Source organism: Homo sapiens, chromosome 14 (assembly GCF_000001405.40).
Source record: "Homo sapiens chromosome 14, GRCh38.p14 Primary Assembly".
Classification (NCBI taxonomy): domain Eukaryota; kingdom Metazoa; phylum Chordata; class Mammalia; order Primates; family Hominidae; genus Homo; species Homo sapiens.
The window spans coordinates 50,592,585-50,620,499 of record NC_000014.9 but is presented as its reverse complement, the minus strand read 5'-3'; the positions used below and the strand labels follow the sequence as shown (position 1 = coordinate 50,620,499).

At 36.3% G+C, this 27,915-nt stretch overlaps 1 protein-coding gene across 4 annotated transcripts in view, besides 1 other annotated feature; it reads right to left on the bottom strand.

Moving 5' to 3' along the window:
* Positions 1-27,915, bottom strand: part of ATL1 (atlastin GTPase 1) — a 99,987-nt gene that overhangs the window by 12,569 nt on the left and 59,503 nt on the right. For all 4 annotated transcript variants that reach the window (XM_047431430.1, NM_001127713.1, NM_181598.4 and 1 more), the window contains 4 exons: positions 26,604-26,654; positions 24,868-24,924; positions 7,149-7,241; positions 5,989-6,127 (listed from right to left, as the gene is read on the bottom strand). In XM_047431430.1, the coding sequence (XP_047287386.1) occupies positions 5,989-6,127; positions 7,149-7,241; positions 24,868-24,924; positions 26,604-26,654 (340 nt within the window). The remainder of the gene's footprint in view (positions 1-5,988; positions 6,128-7,148; positions 7,242-24,867; positions 24,925-26,603; positions 26,655-27,915) is intronic.
* Positions 13,010-13,059: an enhancer, noted in NCBI's record as "active region_8360". NCBI's record gives its function as "activates an Ori minimal core promoter by ATAC-STARR-seq in GM12878 lymphoblastoid cells {active_cell/tissue: GM12878}" and the evidence as "EXISTENCE:reporter gene assay evidence [ECO:0000049][PMID:35858748]".

The window sequence follows — 27,915 nt, the reverse complement described above, 5'->3', positions numbered from 1 at the left end:
TGATAATGCCATCACTCACTTCCCCATCATTTAAGCGACTCCTGAAACCTGCTCTTCTCACAGTGAATGATTCTCCTTGCCCAAATTTCCACTCCCGTTTCATATGTATCTTGTCTTCCACCTATAAGTTAGCTTTCTTGATATTATAAGTTAGCTTGCTTGATTTTACATGTATGCTTTGTATGTAGCCCATTCATATAACCAGTTCAAGTTTTGTTTTTGCTTTTTTGTTTGTTTGTTTTGAAATGAAGTCTTGCTCTGTCGCCCAGGCTGGAGTGCAGTGGTGCAATCTCAGCTCACTGCAACCTCTGCCTCCTGGGTTCAAGCAATTCTCCTGCCTCAGCCTCCTGAGTAGCTGGGACTACAGGCACACACCACTATGCCCAGCTAATTTTTGTATTTTTAGTAGAGGAGGGGTTTCACCATGTTGGCCAGGATGGTCTTGATCTCTTGACCTCATGATCCTCCCGCCTCGGCCTCCCAAGGTGCTGGGATTACAGGCATGAGCCACCGTGCCCAGCCATAACCAGTTCATGTTTTAAGTCTTGTTTGTGGTTTTATATATATAGGCTCATAAATGGGGAAGAGACCAGATTTTTACTGGCTTATTATAATGCATTCCCTCCAGAAAATGTATCCAAAAATTGCTCCGTGCATAGCGTGCCCACCTTCTAAGAACTGTACAAAACTGGGTAAGCTGTGGTAACTGGACTGCAGAGTTCAAAAAGATAGTGACAATGATGCTACCTCTAGTGGTGGAACTCAGCAACACAAAATAAAATAGCAAGAAAAGGCCACTTAAGCAGATGAGAGGTAGTATGAGTATGTAGTTGTCATGTTTGATATAATTGATTACACATAACCCAAGCTGTAGCAGTAGGTTAAAGCTTAACATTACAGACTTAGCAAAGTAATATAGAAAACAGATCACGAGAGAAGTCTTCTGAACACAGGGACAATTTCTTAAATTGTTATTTCAAATATATGGAAAAATTGGGGCCGGGTGCAGTGGCTCCCACCTGTAATCCCGGCACTTTGGGAGGCCGAGGCAGGTGGATCATTTGAGGTCAGGAGTCTGAGACCAGCCTGGCCAACGTGGTGAAATCCTGTCTGTATTAAGATATAAAAATTAGCTGTACACGGCTGGGTGCAGTGGCTTACGCCTGTAATCCCAGCACTTTGGGAGGCTGAGGCGGGTGGATCATGAGGTCAGGAGATCGACACCATCCTGGCTAACACGGTGAAACCCCACCTCTACTAAAAATAAAAATAAAAAAAATTAGCCAGGCGTGGGTGGCATATGCCTGTAGTCCCAGCTACTCTGGAGGCTGAGGCAGGGGAATCGCTTGAACCCGGGAGGCAGAGGTTGCAGTGAGCTGAGATCACGCCACTGCACTCCAGCTTGGGCGACAGAGGGAGACTCCGTCTCAAAATAAAAAAAATTAGCTGTACATTGTGGCACATGCCTGTAGTCCCAGCTACTCGGAAGGCTGAGGCAGGAGAATCGCTTGAACCTAGGAAGCGGAGGTTGCAGTGAGCCAAGATTGTGCCACTGCACTCCAGCCTGTGCGACAGAGCAAGACCCTGTCTCAAAGAAAGAAAAAAAAATATATATATATATACACACACACACACACACATACATTATATATATATGGAAAAATACACATACTATGTAAAAAAGCAAGATCTGTCCAGTGACTTGCTTGATTTCTAAGTAAATTCAGTAACTGCCTGTAATTTTTAAAAATCTAAATTTTAGCAGAGTTAGAGTTTTCAGGCTTTGGGGTTGGTGATTTTGAAGGCCTTAAAGATTCAAAACTTAAGACTGTGTTTGCATTTTCCCCTTTATTATAGCCCCAGTTATAACATTGGGGCTACATTGAAATACTATTTTATGTTAGAATTTGTTTTCTTTACTTCTTTTATAACACACACAAGCATGATGCTGGATATCTTTCCAAGTTATTTTGTTTCATGTTTTGTGCCACTTTGAAATTCTAGTGACCGTGATTTACAGGTACTTGCAGTGGAGTTTATTCACTTATTTTGCTGTTTGCATTGTACCAATTTTCACTGATAATTTTGCTTTGTACTATATATAGATTTATTATTGTGGTTTGCTTTTTAGTTACTAGTATTCACTGGACTACAATACTGATATTTGTATTTATGTTACCACGTTCCTGTTTTGTGTTTTATTGCCTGCCATGTATCTGTATTCACTGACACTAATAGGTTTCTTTTTTGCTATATGATTTTACGTTTTTTCATCTTTAGTAGAATATTACTATACACCTAGAATGTATGAATTCTTCAGTTTCTGAATAAAACAAAGTTTTCTTCTTATAAAACCACTTTAAAATCACTTTCAGAACTTGTATATAAATTTCTGCCCCCAAACATTCCTTATACAATTGGAATGGAATAAGATACGACTGTGTGTTAATGCACCAGCAAGTGTGGTAATTAATTATCATTAAAGTAACCAGCATCTAACCATACATTTGGATTAAAAATGTGTCTGAAGATGGCAGTAGCCCTCTTTGTTCTCATTGGAACCAATGCTAGGTATTCCAATTTTGGATTCAGAAAATAAGAACAATATATTCATAACATACGTAGGTGGTGAGCTCTTGCTAATGTTAGTTGAACACAGTAAAGACATGAACCAGAAAATCTGCAAACCAGTTCAAATCGATTTGCCGAGGGGCATTAATAAGCTTTGGCCTTGCAAGTGGTCAATTAATATATATGAATAGCTGATTCAGAATTATGTTCAGTAATTTTCTTCAGTAATTTTTTCCACAAGGGCAAAATCTTCCAAGGACTTTAGGGGCTTGGTCAAAGTGGTGGTTACCTGACACAATAATTGAGAATACGATGTATGCTTTATAAGAACTCCACAGGGCAGATGCACTAGTATAGTATTGCTGTATAAATTAACAAAGGAAGATATTTTCTCAGGATTTCCTGATTCTGATAAGTGATTGGAAACACGCATTTGACTATGCATTCTCAAGTCTAACTGCAGCTGCTAAGGAAGCAGCTCCACATCTTATAATGTGGCTACCTGCTCATTCTACATATGGTACTATAACGCAGAGCAACCTCAAAAGAAAAAAAAGGATAACTCCTTGTTATTTAAAAAATTGTATCTGCTGTGCTAGGGTAGGTATTCAGTAAGCACCCAATAAAAGCTGGTTGAATGAAGCATAAATGAATGTGATTCAGTACCTTTAATCTTTTTCATTTCCTTTTGGGAAGTTCTTAAATTAACAGTAGTTAAATTTAATCATATTATTATCAGTTTTTAATAACACTAGAAATAGGTAAGACAATAATAATTGCAATACTTTGAGGGACCATGAACAAATAGTTATTATAACAATGGTTACTATTGATAATGAGCTAGAAAGTTATTTCTGTGTGTGAAAGAGTATATGAGAAACTATTATCAAAGAACAACTTTTGCATAATTGTTTATTCGGAGACTTTTCTTCACTAGAGGCAACCAGTGAGATGCCAGCCCTCTGGAGAACATCACAGTCAGCTGACAAGACATCCTGGATAGAAATCACACCAAATTGTAAGATTCAGCGTGGGACAGAAAAATAATGTAGATAGCAGACTTTCAAAACTGCCCAAAGAAACACGGAGGCAAAGTACGATATTTCTGCACAAAAGAGGGCTTTAGCAGCAGTCTTGTAAGATATAAAAGTCTCATTAAAATGGAACTTTTATGGAAATTGAAGCTGCCTTTCACTACTCTTTTTCCTAGGCAAGGCACTTTGGTAAACTCATAACTTATAGTTAACTGTAAACCAATTGTGTAGGTCAATATATGCATAGAAGTGAATACAATTTGATGGAGAACAAATGTCTTAAAAAGTGAGATTCTGGCCAAGTATGGTGGCTCATGCCTGTAATTTATCACTTGAGGCCAGGAGTTCAAGACCAGCCTGGGCAGCATAGTGAAACCCCCATCTCTGCAAAATAAATAAATAAATAAATAAATAAATAAATAAATAAATAAATAAATAACCGGGCATGGTGGCACACTCCTGTAGTCCTATTTGGGAGGCTGAAGCAGGAGGATTGTGTGAGCTCAATAGTTCAAGGCTGCAGTGAGCTATGTTCACACCGCTGCACTCCAGCCTGATAGACAGAGCAAGACCCCATCTCTAAAAAAATAATAATTGCCTGGGTGCAGTGGCTCACACCTGTAATCCCAGCACTTTGGGAGGTCAAGATAGGAGGATTGATTGAACCCAGAAGTTTGAGACCAGCCCTGGAAACATAGCAAGACCTCATCTCTTCAAAGAATTTTAAAAATAAATTAGCTGCACATGGTGGTGCGTGCCTTTAGTCCTAGCTACTTGGGAGGCTAAGGCAAAAGGATGGCTGGAGCCCAGGAGTTCAAGGTTGCAGTGAGCTAGGATCGCACCACTGCACTCCAGCCTGGGCCACAGAGTGAGACCCTGTATCTAAAAATAAAAAATAAAAATAATAAGTAGGATTCTGCATTTGCATGATTTGTCTTAAACTCTCTCCGTGAGCTCTTTCATTGCAAAATGTATCAGTTAATCTAAGAGCTGTAGCTGTATACTGCAGTAATGGAACAAGCCACCATCATTTTTAGTTCCAATAAAGGGCTGTTGTTGAAGGCGCACCCCTCCTCTGCCTGTTTATGTCTCCCAACTCCAGAGAAGAAAGAGAAGCTTTCTCTTTATGTAAGAAGGCTTTCTTTATGTAATTTATTCAAAACACATTAAAGCCATTAGGTAATTGCACAATACTGAGATCTCTGCATCCACTAGTGGGTTGGAATTCATAAGTGTGACAGTGAAATTATAGGAGCCTGTCATCCATATGTACCATATGCTTACTGCTATCTAGTCTGTGGTATGAAAGTAAGATAAAATGTATATAACCACCATGCTGATTAATGATTGAGAAATTTGGTATTGTATTTATGGTACTAACTGCCAAAGTTAAATGTAAGGTATCTGAGAGTAAATGTCATGGGTGCAGGGACAAAAATAATTCATTTGCTTTTCAAATCTGCCAGTTTTGTAAAACTGGATACAAGTTATATTGTCCTTTCTTTAAAGTAATTTTAAATCCCTCTGACAACAATTGTGCTGAAAAGCTTGTAATGCCACTGTCTCACTCCTGGCACGATGCACAAAGGCCACAGTAAATTAAACAAATGTCTGAATTCAGTGGCATATTCAACACTACGCTTTCAAGTTAAAAAGTCATGTCTTTGAACAATGTCGTACTAACTACAAAGCGTATGTCTACAGACCTGGTGGATATCTTTTGGGAAAGATTAACTTCCATTTCCTCAGACTCCTACCTCCCCTCCTGCTCTTGTTTGTTTGTTTAACAAGTCAAGCTGCTTTGGAATCATGTAACAATCAGTCCTCTATTAAAGACATAATTACATCCTATAAGTATACACTATTTGAAAAACACTCTAGTGCTTTTCTTTTAAGACACTGGTCCTCTTCTTCTTCCACACAAGATTTCATTTTTAGTGAAGTTTTTAATAATTTATAATTAAATTCTTTAGGAGCAGTTTTAAAGAGCATTTCTTTCAATCTCTAATTACATAACTTAATACAGAATTCCAATACTATAGACATCTGTTTTCCTTTTTCATGTAGATAAGGAAAATTAAGCCTAAAAATATTAAGGAGCACTTCTCAGTGCACAGAGATAAGAAGGTGAGGGTTACTGCCTTCTGGGTGAACTCAGGATCCGGCCTATTTTTGCAGGCAGTGTATACATCCAGCGCCCATAGAATCCCACAGTTCACCAAGGAGGAGCACCAGCCCAGGATGCCCTATTCTCCTGACAATTTCTAATCATCAGCCTCCTATCAGTGGATAAACTAAACTATCAGCCATAAGCCCAATAGATAAAATGACATTTTTATAATCAGACTAAGTGATGCAAACATATTCATTAAAAGACACAAACCTTTCAATTTTCCATCAAAGTTTGGATTGGTAGCTACTTTTAAGCCAGGATGAGGTAGCAGAAAACAGGAAATGTTGGTGAAACAGGAATGGATGTGTTTTCTGACGTTCTGTAGTTCTTCATGCTGGTTCCCTGAGACCTGCAGTAAATCATTCTGAAGTTTAAACTACTTTCATCACAAATTATGCAAAGGAATTCTGTGGCATCTTATATTTGCTATGTCTGTTTGGTCCCACAATGATGAAAATGACACGACAGGGCTGCTACTAAAGAAAGAAGAAAGTCTTGGGTGGGTTTGCCCACACAGAGCCGTGTCTAAGTATAGAAAACGCATGGCATAGTTTTAATTAACAAGTGTCTACCCTTATGCTAACTCACATGGACCTTCCCATTTTTTAATACAAATTAGTGGGGTTTTAATCTGGCTAGTTTCTACAAATTCAAATTTTAATTCAAAGCACTCGTAGGAGCCACAAAGAGAAAGTAGGATATTTCTACTTTCTTTTTAGTAGATATTCAAGGCAGCCTCCTATCACCTGGTAAGTGTACATTTAAATTCTAGAATGGAATCTGAATAGTTGGGTGTTTACTTACAAGCTAAATCACCCTCACCTCCCACTTTATGTAAATACATATTTGATAGTTTTTAATACAGACAAACTTTTATGACTGTAAACCTAATAAGTTCAGAGATCCCAATTTTCAAGGAACATTTTTGTAAATTTTGATCTTTCTCCCCTGATTTCCCAGTAGGCACTTTTGGTGATATCTGCTCAGTGTAACAATTTGTACAGTATTGAACCAGCACGACACAGAAAGTGGAAGGTCTTCTAATTTTACATTCTGTGCTCTAAGATTGACTCCAGGGATTTCAAAATTAGATATTTGTTACACTGGCTTTGAAACCTCTATTAAAACCTGAATCTTGATATTTGCACTGTCAGTCTTGAAGTGATTTAATTCTTCAAAGTAAAAGTTTTATCTTTAGGAGTAACTTATTGTTTTATAGATATATACAAAGAATTCTTCACCTGTGTCATTAATATCGATAACAAATGAGATTGCGGCTAGTGGCTACTGAGTATCTATTCACCAAATGATCCAACAGAAATAATTCCAGATTATTAGTGAAATTTCATGCACCTAAATATCTAACAAACCTTGAGGCGTTTTTCCAAGAATTTGGCACCACCATCGGCTCCATATGAAAATTCGTATGGGAAACTCCAGTCTCGAACAAGAAATATCAGACTCTAAAAAATAATAAGAAAGGATTGATATGAGGACTTTAAGGTGCCTCCCTTTGCTTTATATGGAAACCAGTTATAATATCACTGTCATTTGAATATCGTTCTTTCCCACATTGCTGAATTAAAAATCAAACATAAAACCTTTGAAAGTGTCTGGGCAGTCTCTCCCCTATGAGATCATCCTACATATTTCCATTAAATGTGAACAGAAGGCTGTGTACAAAATGCCAGCATGAACGCACCCCACTGAGAGATGACAGAGATGACTCCCAAACTGCCTGAATGGAGCTATGTCACTATAATCAGATTTTGTGTAGAATAGGTTCCTAGGAATCTTCCTTTCTGATAGGTATGGCTGAATGCAGGCATAAGATATAAGATCAGCTTTTCTTTTATAAAGAAATTGTTTTAATGTTTTTATAGAAATGATATGTATGTATGCGCATCATAAAAAGTTCAAACTAGATAGCAGAGTCCAGAGAGAAAATTTAAAAATGCACCCCACATCCCATCTCCTGGATTTAACGATAGTTAACATTTGGTGAACATCATCCAGTCGTCTCCCTAGGTACATACACAAATGGAAGAGGGCTAAAAGAAAGAAAAAGGAGAAAAACAGTTTTATAAAAAGTAGAACTGTTTTGTATGTGGCATTTTAAATAAAAAGTATTAAAATGCACTTGAAATTAACTGACTAAAAGGAAGATGAGATGACATTTAAAATACTGCTGAATTTCAAGTAAATGATTTTTTTACCATTAGAAGTTCTAATAAATTCACTTGAAATTAAGAACAAAGATTTTGGAAAACATTGAGCTGGGAGTCATGTGTTTAACTTTTTATACCTTTGAATGGAATATAGTCCACATACAGAAAACTGCACATTAAGTATATAACTTAATGAATTTTCACAAACTGAACACATTGTGTAACTAGCACCTAGATCAAGAAACAGAGAATATCCAGCACTCCATAAGCCCCTCCTCCTGCCACCCTCCAGTCATGACCCCTTGCTCAAGGGTAACCACGTGCCTGACTTTTAACAGCATCAGTTCGTTTTGCCTGTTTTTATAATTTGCGTAAGTGGAATCATACATGATACATGATATATTCTTTTGGTCTAGCTTCTGTCACTCAACATTATATTTGTGAGATTAATTATATTATTGCATAATTGTTCATAATTCATAGTCATTACTGCGCAATTTCCCATTATGTGAATAATGATTAATTCATTCTGTAGATGGGCATTTCAGTGTCTCTAGTTCTTGGCTGGCATGAATAGTGCTGCTATGAACATTCATATGTCTTCTGCTCTTCTTTCTGTGTCTTCTTTCTTTTGCGTTTATAACTAAAGCAGAATTACTGGGTAGAGAGTGTGCACATGTTCAGGACTGGTTGATATTGTCCATTTTCCAAAGTACCAATTTATAACCTTACCAGCAGTCTTAGAGGGTTCCTGATGCTACACATCCTCACCAATGCTTGATATTCTCTGTCTTTTTAATTTTAAACATTCTGGAGGGTGTGGTTTAGTAGCCTAGCCCATTGTGTTCAATATGCATTTCCCTGATGATTAATGAAATTAAGCACATTGTCATATGTTTGTTGGCCCTTTGTGTTTATTCTTTTTTGTGAAGAGGCTGATCAGGTCTTTTGTCTTTACTTATTGGTTTGGAGTCATGCTTTTTAAATATATGTTTCACCTTTAATTCCCTGCCATAAGAAAATCAGCATTCTCAGATTTCCTCTTACCACTCCTCCCTTCCTTCTACGTTTTACATGTCATAACTTTGAAATAAAACCAAAAGCAGTTTGAGTAAATATGTTTAAAATGTAATAAACATTGAAAGATACTACAAATGCATATGGAAATTACAAGACAATTTATATATGTACTATTTCTATGTGTTCCCATATCATCCTGAACTTCCCCTATTATAACACTAGAAGTTGGTGGACTTCTTTCAGTTGTAAGTAATGAAATCCAATTCCAACAAGTTTAAGCAAAAAAGTAGATAATTGGTTCTGTAATTGGAAAGGTCAGCGGTGTAGGTGGATTTCAGAAGGATTTGGGACACTTAAGTGACATTAAGGCTCTTTCTCTCTCTGAACAGTCCTCTCTACATGACGGCCAAGATGACCACTGAGATCCAGATTCACATCCTGCTAGCTTAGCAACACCAGTGCAAGTCAGTTTTTCAAGACAGCTATGTCAGGAAATTTCCAGGAATGGGCCCAATTTGATCATATGCCCAGTCCAGAAATAATCACTGTGGTCAGAGGGATGGGATGGTCTGAACTGTCACCTGTATGTAAGGGGTGAATGTCATCAGGTTCACCTGAACCAGAGGGAATTGGAGAGAGGAGTTCTATTGCTAGAAGGGGAACTAGACGGAAAAAGAAATAGATAACTCCAAACCATAATGTTATGGTGCATTATTTATAGACTGTAAGCCTTCTAGAGGCAAAACTTGAATCTCTTTCTTGATCATTATAGTATCCTTAACACCTAGTACAGTGCTTGGCACAGAATCAGTGCTTAATACAGATTTGTTGAATAAATCATTTTCTCATTTTTTAATTATCAATTTCACAATGTCAGCGTTTAAAATATTTACACTCTGCTCTGTACTCACAATATTCAAAGTTGTTTGGCTTTAGTGTTATATTTAATTGGATTCACTACATCAAAAATCCTTTCACTGTCAACTTCTCCATACCTGAGCTCTTATTTTGAATAAAATAAAAGTGGGCCAAATTTTGCCATATGGTTTTCCAAGAAGCAGTATTAGGATTGCTGTATTTCCTGAGTACTCACATTCTTGAGCATATCTTCTGTTGCTTTCATAGTTAATTAACAAATTGGCAGGATATAAAAATTCTTAGGGTGATTCTTTCAAAACCTTGTCAATTATCATTCATCTGTCTTTTTCCATGGAATATTGCTATGGAAAACTCTGTGTGGATCCTTTCTTCTTAAAAGTTCAATAACTTTACTAAGTATTTTCTCATATTGACTGGAATGTATCAGTTTTCCCTAGGGAAATAGTATGAAGATTCAAGTTTTATTCGAGAAAAGTTTTTTCTCTCATCTCTTTAAATATTTTTCCTCTATTACATTTATTGTTTCCTCATTTGTTTCATTTTCTTCTTAAGGGGCTCTCATTATGCGTATGTGGTAGAGAGGCGGGTGTGAATCCAGGTTTTATGGGGCCTGAAGCTTACATAATCTGTGGGGCAGAGTGGGGCAGAGGAAAACCTCTGTAAGAAAAAGAATGCAGAATTAGGCTTGAAAGTGAATATTTATTTAGAATGAGGAATATAAATTACAAATTCAAAAAACTGGCTAGTATCACGAACAAAAAAAATCCAGAAAAATAACTAACATAACTTTATAACAGTTTTCTTTCCCCCAAAGGTGTTCCAAGTTCATTTCCTACCTTAGACCTAGAACGGGCATTTTTCTAAGAAGCACTGGTTTCTTTTAGTAGAATATGGTTCTTCAAGATTATAATGCTCAAAGTGCTGCTGCGTTGGTCAGTGTTTCTAGACCTTTCAGTGGGCAGAGCTAGAATAAAATTGTGTGTGGTGTGTGTGTATGATAAAATACCTCATAAATTCATATTGACATTCCCAATTCAAATTCAGGACTATAGAGTTTCCACTGAATGTCTATATTATATCCATATCTCCTTGTCCAAGAATCTTGAATCAAGAATCTTGATTCTTAATGCATCAGGGATGGTTGAATTATGATATCCCATAATTACTCATTTTTTCAATGCTCTAATACATACACAACAGCCGCAGAGTAGCAGTACCAATACCACCATCAACTACTATGACTACTTAATGAAAGTTTTTTTTTAATTTGGCACATGCTCTCCTCATTCTCCTACTTTTTAGTTTATCTATTCATTCATTTATTTAAAGAAAATAGAGATTACATATGATGTTCTCTCCCTTTTGTCCCGCATTTAGTCTAAGTTCCGCAAACAAATATACATTTAATGATCACTCCTAGTCCTTATGTCATCTTTGCTGATCTGAAATTCATTCTTTAGTAGATTTTGCATTAAGGGTCATGGGAACAATATTCCTTGGATTTTTACATGTTGATAATAGTTGTGGCCCTTTATGCCTGAAAGTCAGTTTTGCTGGATGTCAAATCCTTGAATCACATCTTTTTTCCTTAAACAGGGTCACTTCTAAGTGGCGTGCGATTATGGATCTTTCTTGCTCCCATAAGATGGAGCCTCTCCTCCCTCTTATTTTGTTTTGTAGATTCTTGTGGGGGAGAGGAGGGATTCTTGTAGAGAAAAGAATTAAAAATACCCACATCCACCCTCTTTAAGTAGTCTGCTAACTTTAAATAGATGTCCATTTTTGCCACAATTTTTGTCAAAATATAATAATTTGTATTTTGAACATTTCTTGCTAAAACATGTATTTTGAAAATAGATGTTAGCTGGGAAGTAATTTTTTCAAAATAGAGGTTCATGAACCAGGATAAATGAAACCAAGTATGTGGATTTGGCTGTATTTTGCATTTTTCTTGGGAGCTTTAGTCTCATTTCTTGGTCTTTTTCACTGGCCATCTTCCCAATTCAAAATAATGAGGACCATGTGTGGTATAGAAGCAAATATAAAGTTTCATTTTTTAAAATTAGCAATATGTAAAGTAATCATGAAATTAATGGCAACGTTCCAACTCCCAGGTTTCCTGCCTGATGCTCTCATCCAGTGATGTGCTGATAAACTGGCTCTCTGACAAAAAAACAAAAGCCTTGATTTGTAGCATTTGCCAATTTCTGTGGTGTAAATATACCCATCATGGCTGATTCCAAGCTATTAAAGGTTTAATAACTGGTTTATATAATTCCTGAATATTTAATAATTGGTTCTCATGAATGGGGATGAGCAATTCCTACTGTCCCCCACCCCTCCCTAGATAATTTATATGCTTTTCATTCATCATGTATGGATTTCTATGAAATTCAGTCTTTATGTCAAAATCCATCAGTTTTTCTACACTGCAGAATCTTGATTTGCTCACGTATGAATATAGGTAGAGATAAAAACCAAGAATACAAATTAGCCTAATTTGCTCAGATAAAAACATATGAAGCCACAAACACTTTTTTAAATTAAATTCAGCCAGGCAACTGGGTCAAATGATGGACCTATACTATACTTAGCTTACAAATGAAATAATCATCTAACTTTTTAAAATCATGACAAATTTTATTAGCGTCCCTTTGGAGACTATATCTTTCAGGAAATTATTCAAAAGGAGTATTACAGCATGACTTGGTAACAGTGAAAAACTGAAATAAATCCAAATGCTCAACAATTGAGAAATAGCTATATAAACTATGGTGCATTAATATGACACATAGCTATTAATAAGTATGTAGAATATATCAACACATGAGTTGACTATGTCAGTATAAAAAGCTTATATGAAACAAATGTTATCTGAAAAATAACAGTAAATTTATGTGCACATCCATTATAAATATATGAAATTATTCCTACACTCACCGGGAAAGACTACATGTTCTAAAACCATACAGCCAGTAAATATCTGAACTGGTTTTTAATACATGTAATCAGTTTCTAATTTCAGTTTCAGGTAAAGGTAAACACCAGAACTGGTTTTAAACCCAAAGTAAGGAACACTTACTTCAATCAACAACCCACACAAAAAGCCAACAGAGAGCCTCATTGCTTTAAAAGTCAGTCAAGTAGTCAAAGACTCACTCCAGAAAACTTACTGTTTTCACCTCTACACCCAACACATTTAACAAAAGACATATTCTCAGACTGATGTCAACCCATCTTGCTTCCATAACCCACAAAACTCCAAAACACGCCCCTGACGCCTACATGTGGTCATCAGTTGGCTTTGCTCAATGAGACTATGCCTCACCAGCAGAGCTCTATAGTTCACTAAGCAATAAGTTTAGCTTTGTTTTTTTAAGTCATATTTTGAGAGATGGTCTTATCCTTTGCCAATTCTGGACGTCTCATTGTACCATTTTTGAATGCCTTCACTTGGCAGCATCCTCTGTGACTCTTAGACTTACAGGTGCATTCTCTTTCTGCCTTGTTCCCAAATTCCATTTGTCCTTCAATTTGCTTCCAGGTGAATCTGTCTCAACAACACTCTGAGTTCTGATTTGCTTCATTGAGCTCTTGTTGCTAAATTAATTTGTTATCCTAGGATTTTGTAACCATATAGGTCTTTATATAGGGTCATTAGTCCTAAGTGTTTGCATAGAGTAATTCAAATTTTAGTGTTGGAAGTACATTCACTTGATAAATAATAAGACCTAATTTTTGTATAAAGTTCTTAGAACTTTTGGTTTGGGGGCACACCATTCAGTGAATATTTTTGCCATTAGCCTGCTTATTCTTTTGCTGCTTGCTTTGCTTTCTTTTATTTGACAATTTGTACAAAGTCTTGTCTCACGTGTTTTTGTTTTGTCTTGAATTGTTTTGTATCACTGAATGAATACTAAAGTCCTCTATAAAGAACAGATGGAAGCATAGGCCTAAGAAGTCTTCAGTCCCATTCACACTGCCCCAAAGACTAATGGTTGGAAGTCTGGTAGGCTGGCAACCAATTTATGCAAAAGTAATTAATCAAATTCTGCCTTAGGTTCCCTACAAAACCTTCAAGAGGACACTCTCTGTCTTTTCAATGCGTGAGTCACTTTGTATAGCACATAATACAAAATCAGTAATTGTCAGATTATTGATCATACAACTCTGTCCTAGCCTCTGCTTGCTTAAAGAACCCAAAACACTTTTCATGAGCACATACTATTGATTAACTTTTATGTTACAGGTTTATATCAAAACTGCAAGCTCCTCCTGGAAGAATTTCTGCTTCCTATTTCTATTAAACAACACTAATTTTTGTATCAATAATAGTAAATATACTTTTAAAAAATGAGAATAACTGTGGCCATTATGGTGAACTTTGGACATGTAAGAATAAACAATACAGTTAAGAGGAGCTCTTTAAATATTGAGACAAATACCAAACACTCATTAGTTAGCTGCTTCAAATAATAAACTGAGGCCTCAAAATAAAATGCTGACTCCAAAATGCAGTCTCTACATTTGACACTGTAACCTTCTGAAACCTGCCCTCCTTGCATTTCTTTTCATTCAGTTTTATTTTTACCACTCAATACATCCCTTCAATTCCTTCTGCTCCTTCCCCTGACCTTCTAAACAAGCTACTTTTTCCTCGGAAATTTTCACAGGAAAGGAGTGGGCACACTGCCCAAATCTACTTAAAACTGCTAGATCAGAAGGCTATTCTACAGAAGTTGAATTTAAACCCTGGTCTTGAGCTGAGTGTTAAGGAATTCTTTTAACCCAGAAAGATAAAAAATCTGTTGCAGACTTGTTAGATATTTACTGTCCTGAACTATCAGTTCTGTTCCAACTAGTTCACTTAATTGTTAGACCTTCAGGTGGGAAAAAATGGTTAAAAACAGTGGGATAAGAAAGACCAGGAGAATACTTAAATAATCCAGCTGTTTATTAAAACATAATGATAATACATTTTAACAATTTAGTGGCCTTTAGGGGGCAAGAAAAATAAAAAAAATTACAGAAGGCTATTTTGGAAGACTTTCTCTTAAATATCAATTGGACAAAGGTTCTAAATTATAAATAAAATAGGGATGAATCAACAGGAAACTTTAAAAATTGACTTCAGGAAACTTTCAGACATAAAATATGAATATTGAAGAAAAAACATATGAGGCTCAGATATAAAATATAGACTCAGAATAAAAAGGTTGAATGAGAAATTGTCAATTTAGAAATCTCTAGTATATCACTGACTTTTCATAGGGCTTGGGTAATTAGCAAAATAGAAATCAAGACAAATTTGTGGTCCTTCAGATAAAAACAAGACCAAAATATCCTCTGTTCTCTATGAATCAGGAACCTATAGATAGGGAAGTCTATGGATATTGCAGGCAGAAAATCCACTGGAAGAACCACTGTCCCAAAGCAGCTAAGAATACCTATAATACGTATGATTTACAAAAAAAAAAATGAAGAATCTTTGCACAAACTCTCCAAGGATATGGGCAGAAAAATTAGAGACAAGCTAATAGGAGGGCAGATCAATCCTTCCAAATTATCATAAATCTTTCTTTTTTATTAAAAAGAAAATCCATGATAAGTATTAAATCAACAACATCAAAGACTCAGTGCCTTTTGTAGCCCATTGCTTGATCCAGTAACCAAGGCTTATCTTCCTTGCCTCAGAGCAGTTACAGCCTCATCTAATTACTTGAAGTATCTACAGACCATGCTCTAGGATCACCTTTAAATTTGATGGTACCATATACAGTACAATCACTATTGCTAACTGAAAACACCCAACATTTTTCTGTTAGTCTTAACTAACGAAATATGGTATTTTCTTTTTGTATTAACCACCCATCAGTGTGACACTTTCAATGCAGCAACTCTATACCCTTACCCATTGAAGGAGAATTTCATAATTGTGTTTCTCCAGTTCAAGAAGGGGCCATGCCCAGTATAAATATTTTGGACACTCTCACGTCAACTTATGACTTAATATTGTTTGGATATAGTTCTTACCTTAAAAGTATAAAGGATATAGTTCTTACCTTAAAAGTATAAAGAGACAATACTGGATATCTAATACTTGCTCCAGATCTTGAATCCAGGTCTTCCAATTTCGAGTTGTATATGCAAACTATTTACAATCCCAAATATGTATATACTACCCCCTTAGTGAACATTTATCGTACACATGCTTTATGAACAGCATGGTAGGTGCGCTAGACTTCAAAAAGTAAATGACAAAGTTCTTGCTCATAAGTCATGTATAATTTAATTAATGAGAGGGGATAGGCACATTAAAATGTAAGACAATAAAATACAGCTTAATAAGTGGCTCAGATTAAGATAGCAAAGAGAAGCCCTAAAAGATGGTAGTTAAGTGCAAGGGCTCTGAGCTGTGGCCTAGGTTGAGGTCAGCTCTACAATTTAAAGATATATGTGACCAAGAGTAAGTTTCTCAACTACTCTCAGCCTCAGTACTTCTCATTGGATAGAAAAATTAAAGACGAGAATAAAGAAGGAGCGGTAACATTAGTTTTTTTATAGAACTGTAATGATCAGTAATTCGAATAATGTAAGAAAAATGCTTAGCACAGTGCATGGCACAAAATAAGCATGCAATAAATTGCTGTTATTGCTCTTCTGGACATTTCAGGTACCTAAATGTAGAAATTGGGAGAATCCTAGTCTACACCACTGACCTAGTTCTATGTAGCCAGATAAGCATTTCTTCTAATCCATACAGCTCTCAGATCACCTAAATTGCTCTCTCGACAGAACATGGGATAGGGTAGATAACTTCCTCAGCTGTCTTTTTTCATATCATTTCCTTTAATTTTCAGCCCAAGCAGGCCGACATCAGCCTTTCATTTTCTCAGTGAGGTCATGCATTTATCAGGTATGACTTGGCAGTTATAATCATCACAGATATTTGACCAAAGATGTTTTGTTTCAAAGTAGCTTAAATCACTATCAAAGAATTTTTTGTGCAAATGGACATTCTCAAATCATGGGAATAAAGGGTCCTCAAACATAATTAAGCAAACTAGAGTAAAATAATTCCTAATTGTCCTGTGTAGGCCCAATTTGAATAAGAAATGGTGAGAAACAGTACTTGTCCTAATGTAATAGAGTATTATTATATGCTTCCCCTTCTATTATTTTTCAGCAACCTTCAGTTTAACTTAAAACTGGCACAGACTGATGTGCTCACTAATAATTACATCTCCACTGAAAGGAATGTGAAGAATTGAGTTTTTACCTTTATCTCACAAAGATAATTTGAATATCTGTGTAAGGTCTAAGGTCTTGCTGGGCTTTTAAGTGTATGAAAATGGTTAATAAACATGCTGTAGGTGAAAACTGGGCTGAATTAACTCCAGAAAGTGAAGTACTTGACACTGAGGACATGGAAGAGAAGATAATAAATGTAAATAGTCCTAAAATATATGCTCAAGAAAGAAATAAGCCTTCTAAGAGAAGTCAAGTTTGTGTGAAGGAAAGTTTTTTTTTAGGGTTTATGCTTCCTACTTTCCTATTACAGGCCAACCTTAATCTACTAACTATCTGTACACAGAAATGTACATAGAAATGGTGCCCTATCTCTCTGCTACCAGAACCTTCTGCCATAGATGCTGTCTGCTGGAGTGTGCCCAGTGGCTAAATCTGTCCTCAAATATGTGCTTGAGAATGACATAGAGAGTGCAGATTCCCTGGTCTAAACACAGGGATTCCAATTCAGCAGAACTGTGGCATGGCTCAGAAATGATTCTAACCCAGGTGCCTAAAACACCTGCTTCTGCATCAATCATCAAGGCTACAGATATGCTGCAGCCCCATCTCTTCTCTGTGAGCCATACAGCCTAAATCCTGCTAAAATTCCCAACTACCTCAGGGCTCTGGGCCTCAAAAAGGTCCAGAAATCATCAAATATATTCAGGACTCTGCCTTAAAGGAACCAAGGCTCAGGAACTTCGTGACCACTATTTAAATTTGCTGTAGATTAAACAGGATTTTGCAGACCGGCCTACTAGAAACAGACCCACCATGTCGAAATGCCACTGAGAAATGTATTGACATCTAAAACACGAACTCAAGTGAATCTTGAGACTATAATACACTTTAGTAAATGGGGAATGTTTCTATTTCTTCATAGCCTACATAATTAGAAGGCATGAAGTGATTAAATCGTAAACTCCTGGGCTGCTATTGCCAAAGGGTACATTTAAAGGTATAATACAGGGTCTTCTTAGTAAGGGGGATCTGTTTTTAGCATAGACCCCATAACAAGCTTACTGTTGTTAGCACATGACGGAGTGGAAACCCTCTCCACCACCACAGCCCAGCAGAACTGAGAGGACAAGAGTGACAAGCACACACACAGAGCTCCTCAGAGTCATACAAGTGGAAAATGAGCCTTTCCTGGGGAAACAAGTAACTGGCGGCTGGTCATTTAGCAGAGCATTAGAGGAAGACAGCCTTGCTTGGTGTTGATAAGCAGCCTGCATTTAGAGTGAACTTCAAATAATGTCTGACAACATCAAAAATATCCAGAATTAGTCGTAGGGATCCTGCCCCAAGGATGTGATCATCCCAATACAGAACAATGTGGGGCCAGGTGTGGCTCATGCAAGTCTAAATGACCAAGAAAGAAAAACTCATAACATACCAATATAGACACAAATCTATCGCACGTGACAAGACATTTTCACTAGGTTCTTAGAGCAAACTGGGTGTTATTACTCAAATAAAACTTGCACAGTTATTACATACAGCCATGTTTAAATTAATGGAAAAATATTGTCATTCTCAACAAAAACTGGAAGTCCTAAGGTAAAGAAGCTAATATAAAGAACCTAGTTATTTTATAGATAGATATGTTAATAAAGTAGCTCCTGCCAGATTTTTATACTTTAAATTCAAATGCTCATAGTGAGCAAAACAGGTGAGAAAATAACTAATGTCACTTAGAGAACTCTATACTATGTCTTAATGTGAATTATACTTCCTGGGCGTGCTACATAGTTTAGAGCTGGCTCATTAGAGGTTGCAAAAAACAGTTGTTAAATTTTGAGGAATTTTTGCAAGTTGGTTGACGTCATGGTAGCTTGAAATTGGCCATGGTAAAAGTATTTACACCATAAAAATTAGCAAATAATATATATCAGGCTCACCTCCTCCCTCCTCCCCAACCAGTTTTAAACATTTTGCCAGCACACCACTGGTTACACTTGCACTTCAATATTGCTTTTAAACTGAATTCATTTAGCTTTTAATTCTCTCTTTTAAACCATGGTTTTTAAATACACGAACATATTTTTGTTTGCTTGATTACAGCTTGATATAAATTGTTTTTTTAAAGAATCAAGTTAATATGTTAATTCAGCTATTCATTTTCCCAGCTAATTGTCTTCATATTTGTTGTTTATTATAGGTCTGTTTATTATTCATAATTGTACTGTATTTCAGAGTTAAGAATTCTTCTATTTTAAATTTGTTTAAATTAATTTTGTCTATTTATTTATTTTTTGAGATACGGTCTCACTCTGTTGCCCAGGCTGGAGTGCAGCGGTGCAATCATAGCTCACTGCAGCCTCAAACGCCAGGGCTCAAGTGATCCTCCCACTTCAGCCCCGCTCCAAATAGCTGGGACTACAGGCGCTGTAGTTCTTTGTGGATTTTTTTTCTTTCACTTTTTGTAGAGATAGAGTCTCACTATGTTGCTCAGGCTCATCTCAAACTTCTGGTCTCCAAGCAATTTTCCTGCCTCCTCCTCCCAAAGTACTGGAATTGCAGGCATGAGCCACCACACCTGGCCTTAGTTTAATTTTAATATAAAATTATTTTTAAAATTTCATTATCCCTCACCTTACTTTCTCAGGCAATGTTTAAAATTTCCCCACACTTTTACCCAAATGAATAAAGCTGTTAACTTATCAGAGAGAAGAGGATAGAAGTGACCTGCTAAAAAAGATTGCTAAATCGAAATTTCATTTAGAAGTTATTTTACTTTGCAATTTTTTGCTATGCTTTTTCTAACTGAAATTTGAATTATTTAACTCATATATGTTTTGAAATTTGAATGTATTTGCATTTTATCTTTTGATTTTATAATGTATTTTTTGTTTTGGATTTGGTTGCTTTAATCTAAAATACTATAAAATAACTTTGGATGCCACCTTTACTACTTAATGAGCTTCGCATTTCAATTTCAGGTAGTTAAGAGTTACAAGTCCAAACATGTTTAGGAGTCATTGTTGACTCAGTCAGCGAAAACTTTTTTCTTGTCACTGACATTTCATAATGTCAACAGTTTACTAACTAGGGTAATCTCTTAAAGTTTTTTTCATTGTTTGTTTTCAACTCTTTTTTTTTTTTTTAACCAAAAGCCGCAACTCTATCAATCTTTATCTCTCATCTGTTTTATTGGAGCATTGATTGGTCTTTTCCAGTTTTAATGTTTCTGGCAAAATGTAAGGAGCAGTGACATCTGCTGGTAAGACCTAAAGTCCCTTTCTGTAATTTACAATGGAGTTCCCTACTCTGGTTTGCCAGTGGTTCTGAGTAACAAGTTAGAGAAGAAAATCAAAACAATAGCCTAATTACCATATAGCACTTCAACGATCAACCTAACAAATGATAAAAAAAAAAAAAGACAACAGAGTCTAGTACATATTGTAAATCATATAGAAGACTGCAAGCAAGGCTGGTTTTATTCTACCTCACCTCCTCCCCACACCAGGTTCCTGAGCCCTCAGGAGAATTCATACCCCTTCATCACAGCATACATCATCTCTCCATGCTACTTTACTTCATCATATTTTTCCCAGATCCTCACTCCCATTCCTCAACTATTCATTCCCACCCACATTCACTTTAATATATATTATAATATGCATAAATAGTATCATGTTATAAATCTCACACTTTTTTCTGCTTACTTCTGTACAAATTTTAACACTCTATTCATGCTACTCTATGCACTTTTGGTTCATTGCCTTTAGATGTTGCAAAGTATTCCAGAGTATGCTTTTCCCCATATTTTTATGTATCTGTTCTGCTAGTGATGGACACCTAAGTTGTCTCCAAATTCCTGCTACTATTACTCTATCAATAAATATCCTTATATATTTCCTCTGCTCCATGGAATGGCTGCTCCAATCTGCACTTTCAACAATAGGGCCTGAGTGTTCCCATTTTCCCAAATCCTAGCTTTCATTGGTATTATCTCCATGTTCTACTTTTTGCCTATTTAATGAGTGTAAAGTGGTATTTCATTGTTGTTTTAATATTTATCTAATTATCAGTGAGACTTGACATCCCTTCAAAAATGTATTAGCCATTCAGGTTTCCTTTCTGTGACTTGTCTATTAATATTCTTTGCCTGTTTTCTGATTGGGAACCAGGTTTTGGTTACTTGCAAAAGTTTCCTGTATGTTCTGCTTAGTAATCTTTTGTTGACTTTGACATTGTCAATGTCTTCTACCAATCTGTTCATTTTGATTATAAAGTCATTTGATAAATACAAATACTTAATTTTGATGTAGTAATATGCATCAATTTTTTACTACATGGTTTATTTTAGAGGGTCTAATAAATGTTTCTTCACCTCAGTTCAGAAAAATATTCTCCAGCACTTTCTTCTATTAGCTTTATAGTTTTAACTTGCATATTTAGTTCTTTGATCCATCTGGAGATTACTTCTATTACAGTATTTAGTAAAAATCCAGCTCTTTCTTCAAATAGTGAACTTGTTTTTCCAAACCCAACTATTAACCCATTTATTTCCCACCAGTTTATGATGCCACCTCTATTGACTACCAGGCTCCCATATATATATGAGTGTATTTAAACTGTTTAGTTCCACTGAGCTTTGCTCTTGTATCTGTGTAGGACCTCACCATTTTCATTGCTATGGCTTTTTAGTGTGTATTGAGCCCTCTAATTCAGATCGTCTTCTTAAAAACTGACTTAAGGCCGGGCACAGTGGCTCACACCTGTAATCCCAGCACTTTCGGAGGCCGAGGCGGGCAGATAACCTGAGGTCAGGAGTTCGAGACCATCCTGGCTAACATGGTGAAACCCCATCTCTACTAAAAGCACAACAAAATTAGCTGGGCATGATGGCGGGCACCTGTAATCCCAGCTACTTGGGAGGCTGAAGCAGGAGAATCGCTTGAACCCGGGAGGCAGAGGTTGTAGTGAGCCGAGATCATGACATTGCATGCATTCCATCCCGGACAACAAGAGCAAGACTCCGTCTCAAAAAAAAATAAAAATAAAAATAAAATAACCTGACTCTTAAATCAAAACAAGACTTAATTCTTCCATATGAGTTGTAGAAAATATACAAAAATCCTATTGTAATTTCAATTATAATTGCACTGAGTTTGACTAATTTGTTGAGAATGAAATTCTCCACAACATTAAATCATACCATCTGTGATCATATTATATCTCTTTGGTTTATACAATTTTTTCTCTATGGTCTTTAATAGACCTTTGAATTTTTCTCCAGAAAGGTCTTTATATTTTGGTGGCTAATTACTAAAGATTTTTGTTTTGTTTTGCTATTGTGAATGGTATATATATTTTAAAACTTATATTTGCTAGCTGTAATTGCTGGTTTTAAGAAACGCTATTGGCCGGGTGCGGTGGCTCACGCCTGTAATCCCAGCACTTTGGGAGGCCGAGACGGATGGATCATGAGGTCAGGAGATCAAGACCATCCTGGTTAACATGGTGAAACCCTGTCTCTACTAAAAACACAAAAAAATTAGCTGGGTGTGGTGGCGGGCACCTGTAGTCTCAGCTACTCGGGAGGCTGAGGCAGGAGAATGGCGTGAATCCCAGAGGTGGAGCTTGCAGTGAGCCGAGATCGCACCACTGCACTCCAGCCTGGGCGACAGAGTGAGACTCCGTCTCAAAAAGAAAAAAAATAAACACTATTGACCTTTTAAAATTTAAAAATGTTATCACATAATATGATACCTACAAAAGAATGCATGTAACATATATATATATGCTATTAAGCAGATTAATAAAATAAATACTTGTGAACCCACAAACCTGCTTAAATAATTGAAAATGCCAATAACATTGAAGCTTCCTGTGTGTCCCTTCCTGATACATCCCCATTTCTCCTCTCCGGTAGTAAATACTACTTTAATTTTGCTTTTTAAATAGTTTTATCACACGTGTTTATATTCTTAACATATTGTTTAGTTTTGCTCATTTTGGACCTTTATAAAAAATGCTATCCTACTGTAAATAGTCTTTGGCAACTAGCTTTTTTCCAATCCACATTATGTTTTTAAAATTGATCCATCCTGAGACATATAGCTTTTATAAATGTTCTTTCTTATTTTCATTAGGTTTTGTCTGTTATTCTTTTTTCTTTTTTCTTTTTTTTTTTTTGTTTGTTTTTTTGAGACAGAGTCTTGCTCTGTCGCCCAGGCTAGAGTGCAATGGTGCAATCTTGGCTCACTGCAACCTCCACTCCCAGGTTCAAGTGATTCTCCTGTCTCAGCCTCCGGAGTAGCTGGAATTACAGGTGCCCGCCACCATGCCCAGCTAATTTTTGTATTTTTAGTAGAGACGGGGTTTCACCATATTGGTCAGGCTGGTCTTGAACTCCTGACCTCAAGCAATCCACCCACCTTAGCCTCCCAAAGTGCTGGGATTACAGGTGTGAGCCAATGTGCCCAGCCTACTTTTTCTTCTTAATTTGTACTTATCACTAATTTTCTGCCTTTCTTCTTCTCTAATATAAAACTTTTATGGCTATATTTTTTTCCCTCTAAGTACCATTTTCATGATAGCATTTAATGTTCAATATGTGTGTTTTCTTTCAAGCACTCAATTTGCAGTATTTTCATATAACTATTATGAGTTTAACTTAACCCATGAATTATTTTTGAAGTGTGTGCTTAAATTTCCAAAATATGCTTTTTAAAATGAGCACTTTCTTACTAACTTTTAACTAAATTGTCCTATGATGACAGAATGAGGTCAGTATGAATTCAATCCTTCGAAAATTGTGGAGACCTGCTTTGTGGCTTAATATGTGGTAAACTTTTGTACATACACCTTGCATGCTTAAGAGTAATGTGTTTTCTTTGTTACTTACACTATTCTATGCATGTACCATAAAGCAAGCTTGTTAGCCCTAGGTTTCACATCTTCTGTATTGTTACTCATTTTCTGTTTACTTGACTTATCAATAGTTAGGAGCTGTGTTTCAGTGGATTTACTTATTTCTTCTTATGGTTCTATTGATCTTTATATATTTTGAGGCTATATGTCATACAAATTTAGAATTTTTTTTTTTTAAGAGACACCATCTCTCACTATGTTGCCCAGGCTGGACTCAAACTCTTGGGGTCAAGTGATCCTCCCACCACAGCTATCCGAGTAGCTGGGATTACAGGAATGTGCTACCATGCCTGACTAGAATTCTTGTATTTTCCTGGTGAAATAACCTTTTATTATTATGAACTTCTCTATTCTAAATAATTCTTATAGACTTGAAGTCTCACAAAAATATAGACACTTGTTTTCCTTCACTTAGTATGTGCCTGATCTATCTTTTTCCATCCTTTTATTTTCAAATGAACACATTCTTATGTTTAATACATCTCATAAGATATGGCTGGATGTTTAATTTTTGTACATAAATGAGGCTGGGCCCAGGGGCTCACACCTGTAATCCCAGCACTTTGAGAGTCACTTTGAGTTCAGGAAAAAAAAAAAGCTGACATTTTGCCTGGAACCAGAATGCCTAATTCATCTTTCATTTCCACATCTCTTTTTTAAAAAATAATTCTTAAAAATTCGATTTCCTCATTTCCATCTCATTCTATATTGCATCAAATAGCATAAAATAGTTCAAAAATGGTTTCTCAATGAAATAAAAAGAGAAGGAAACATGACCCTAATTAATATACCTGGTTACAGTCTTCAGGAAAATCTAGTAAGAATTTACCATCATTTAACACTCGCTCACCTGAAATGGCTTCAGGAATGTTTCCTCCATTGCCAGTCTGCCATACTCAGTGAAAAGCTAGAAAAAAAATTACACACACACACATACACAGAGAGAGAGAGAGAGAGAGAGAGAACTTTAGCACCTGCAAAGTTTTAATTCTTGGCTTTCTTTCATTTACTTTTCCCTCTAGGTATAACAGAATATTACATTAAGAAGATTCTAATAATCATTTTTAGGAAATAAGCATTGGATAGGTAAAGCAGAGCCATGGCAATTAGATATTTAAGAATGAAAGACATAAAGTACATTTAAAAATAAAATTTCCATTTTATTTTTAAAATTAACACTTTCATATTTTAAAATGAACACTTTTTATATCTAGAATGTGGGTTAATTTTTTTGTGGGGGACAAAACAGAAGAAGGAAACATGCTAAATGACCTTTAGAAGCAGAACTTGCATAAATTAGACCAGAGAGCTGTAAACTATGTAGGATATATTTACAAAAGCTGTTGCCTAAGGAAATTTAATGGCACAATGGCTTGGATTACTACAAAAGCATTAGGCATTTAGCTTAAGAAATGGAGAGTCCTTTTCCTTTCTTTGTCTTTTTTCTTTTTCTTTTTTTTTTCTTTTTTGTTTTTTTTTTTTTTGAGACAGGGTCTCACTCTGTCACGCAGGCTGGAGTGCAGTGGCATGATCTCTGCTCACTGCAGCCTTGACCTCCCTGGCTCAAGTGATCCTCCTACCTCAGCCTACTGAATAGCTGGGACCACAGGCATGCGCCACCACGCCTGCCTGGCTAATTTTTGTATTTTTGGTAGAGATAGGGTTTCACCATGTTGCCCAGGCTGGTCTCAAACTCCTGGGCTCAAGCAGTCTACCTGCCTCAGCCTCCTAAACTGCTGGGATTACAGGCGTAAGCCACTGCACCCGGCCCTGGAGAATCTTGAAATGAATTCGAAAGAGGAGAAACATATACTGTGCCCAGAGCATAATAAACCTGGAGAGTTGTGCTCCTTAGTCCTGGGAACTTTCTCAGTACTGTCGCCAGTTGTAAACCGAAACTCTGCTTCTTTGTTTCTGCTCCTTTTGGAGCAGTGATTGCTCTGTAGTTTTCCTGAGGCTAGATTGAACCTTATCACCTCAGCTGTGTTTTTTTTAAATGTCTGTGACTTGCAATGTGGCTCTTTTTCTAAAAAATATATTAAATTTGATGTTAAATTAGGGAGAAAGGTAGTTACTTATTGATATGGTTAGGCTTTGTGTCCCCGCCCAAATCTCATCTTAAATTGTAATCCCCATAATCCCCACGTGTCAAGGGAGAGACCAGGTGAAGGTAATTGAATCATGGAGGCTGTTTCCCCCACGCTGTTCTCTGTTCTCGCTGTTCTCGCCATAGTGAGTGAGTTCTCACAGATCTGATGGTTTTATAAGGGGCTCCTCCCACTTCGCTTGGCATTTCTCCTTCCTGCTGCCTTGTGAAGAAGGTGCCTTCTTCCCCTTTGCCTTCGGCCATGACTGTAAATTTCCTGAGGCCTTTCCAGCCATGCTGAACTGTGAGTCAATTAAACCTCTTTCCTTTATAAATTAACCAGTCTCAGGCAGTAATTACCAGGCAGCTAATTGGGCCAATAGTTCCTGTTTAAACAGCAGAATCAGAATCTGATTATGTTTTGAAATCATTCCCCAAAGTTCTGCTATACATGTTTCAAAGACTACCAGATACACAAAAAAGAAAATAAATATTGTTACCTGGAGGTGCTGAAGATCATCCTCCTGGACATTTTGGGATAAGTTATATACCTTGATAAAGAAATAAAATTACAATGATAAGATAACTGGCATCATCCTAAGCACTTACTTCATCATTCCCTACTTTTAAAAATATCAGTTACCACAAAATGGACTCTCTTATGTACATGCTTACATGATATTTGTAAGACCTTGAGAGAGAAGTAAAATAAGCTTGAGAGACAATAAGGAATGAACAATGATTATAAAATGGTTCCAGAAATACAGTAGTCACCTGCTCTGGAGATGGAATATTAAAATTATTTTATGAACCTAATTTATGCAATTAGTCAAAAAAACTCATTCTTCCAAGCAAGACAAAATAATAACAATCTAAATCTCAGCAAGCCATATGGAAAATTTTGTTTTGAAAAATCATGTTGACTTCTTCACAATTAATCATTTTATTTATGTCTATACAGAGTTTCATCACATGGAAGTTAGGTTCTGAATATCATGCTCACATCCTTATATATATATGTGATAACAGCATTAAGATGACATTTTTTGAGGGAAATAAATATCATTAACTTCAAAGAAAAGTTAAGGAGGCTTATATATTTATGTACTGATATAAAAAGAATGCTCTGTATACTTATTTAAATAACAGATCATCATTTCTCACATAATTAAAAAAAGTCATTACTAAGGAATTAGCAGATTTTTCTCTGAAAATATTCAATGTATTCAGGTCAAATATAAATAATGAGTAATACTGATAAGGCAAAGTCAATCTGGTTTAAATAGGCTTGTATAAGTATGGCTTACACTGTGAATTACAATAAATTAGATTAAGTCAGTATTTTAAAGGCTTATACAATGTGTGTATTCAAAATATCATATTGTACATTATATATATACAGATATATGTACACACATATATATATAATTTACACACACACACACACACATATATATATATATATATTTTTTTTTTTTTTTTTGAGACGGGAGTCTCGCCCTGTCACCCAGGTTGGAGTGCAGTGGCGCAATCTCGGCTCACTGCAAGTGCTCTGCCTCCTGGGTTCACGCCATTCTCCTGCCTCAGCCTCCCGAGTAGCTGGGACTACAGGCGCCTGCCACCATGCCCGGCTAATTTTTTGTATTTTTAGTAGAGACGGGGTTTCACCGTGTTAGCCAGGATGGTCTCGATCTCCTGACCTCGTGATCCGCCCGCCTCGGCCTCCCAAAGTGCTGGGATTACAGGCGTGAGCCACCGTGCCTGGCCAATATATATAATTTTTATTTGTCAACTGAAAGAAAAGTTAATTTT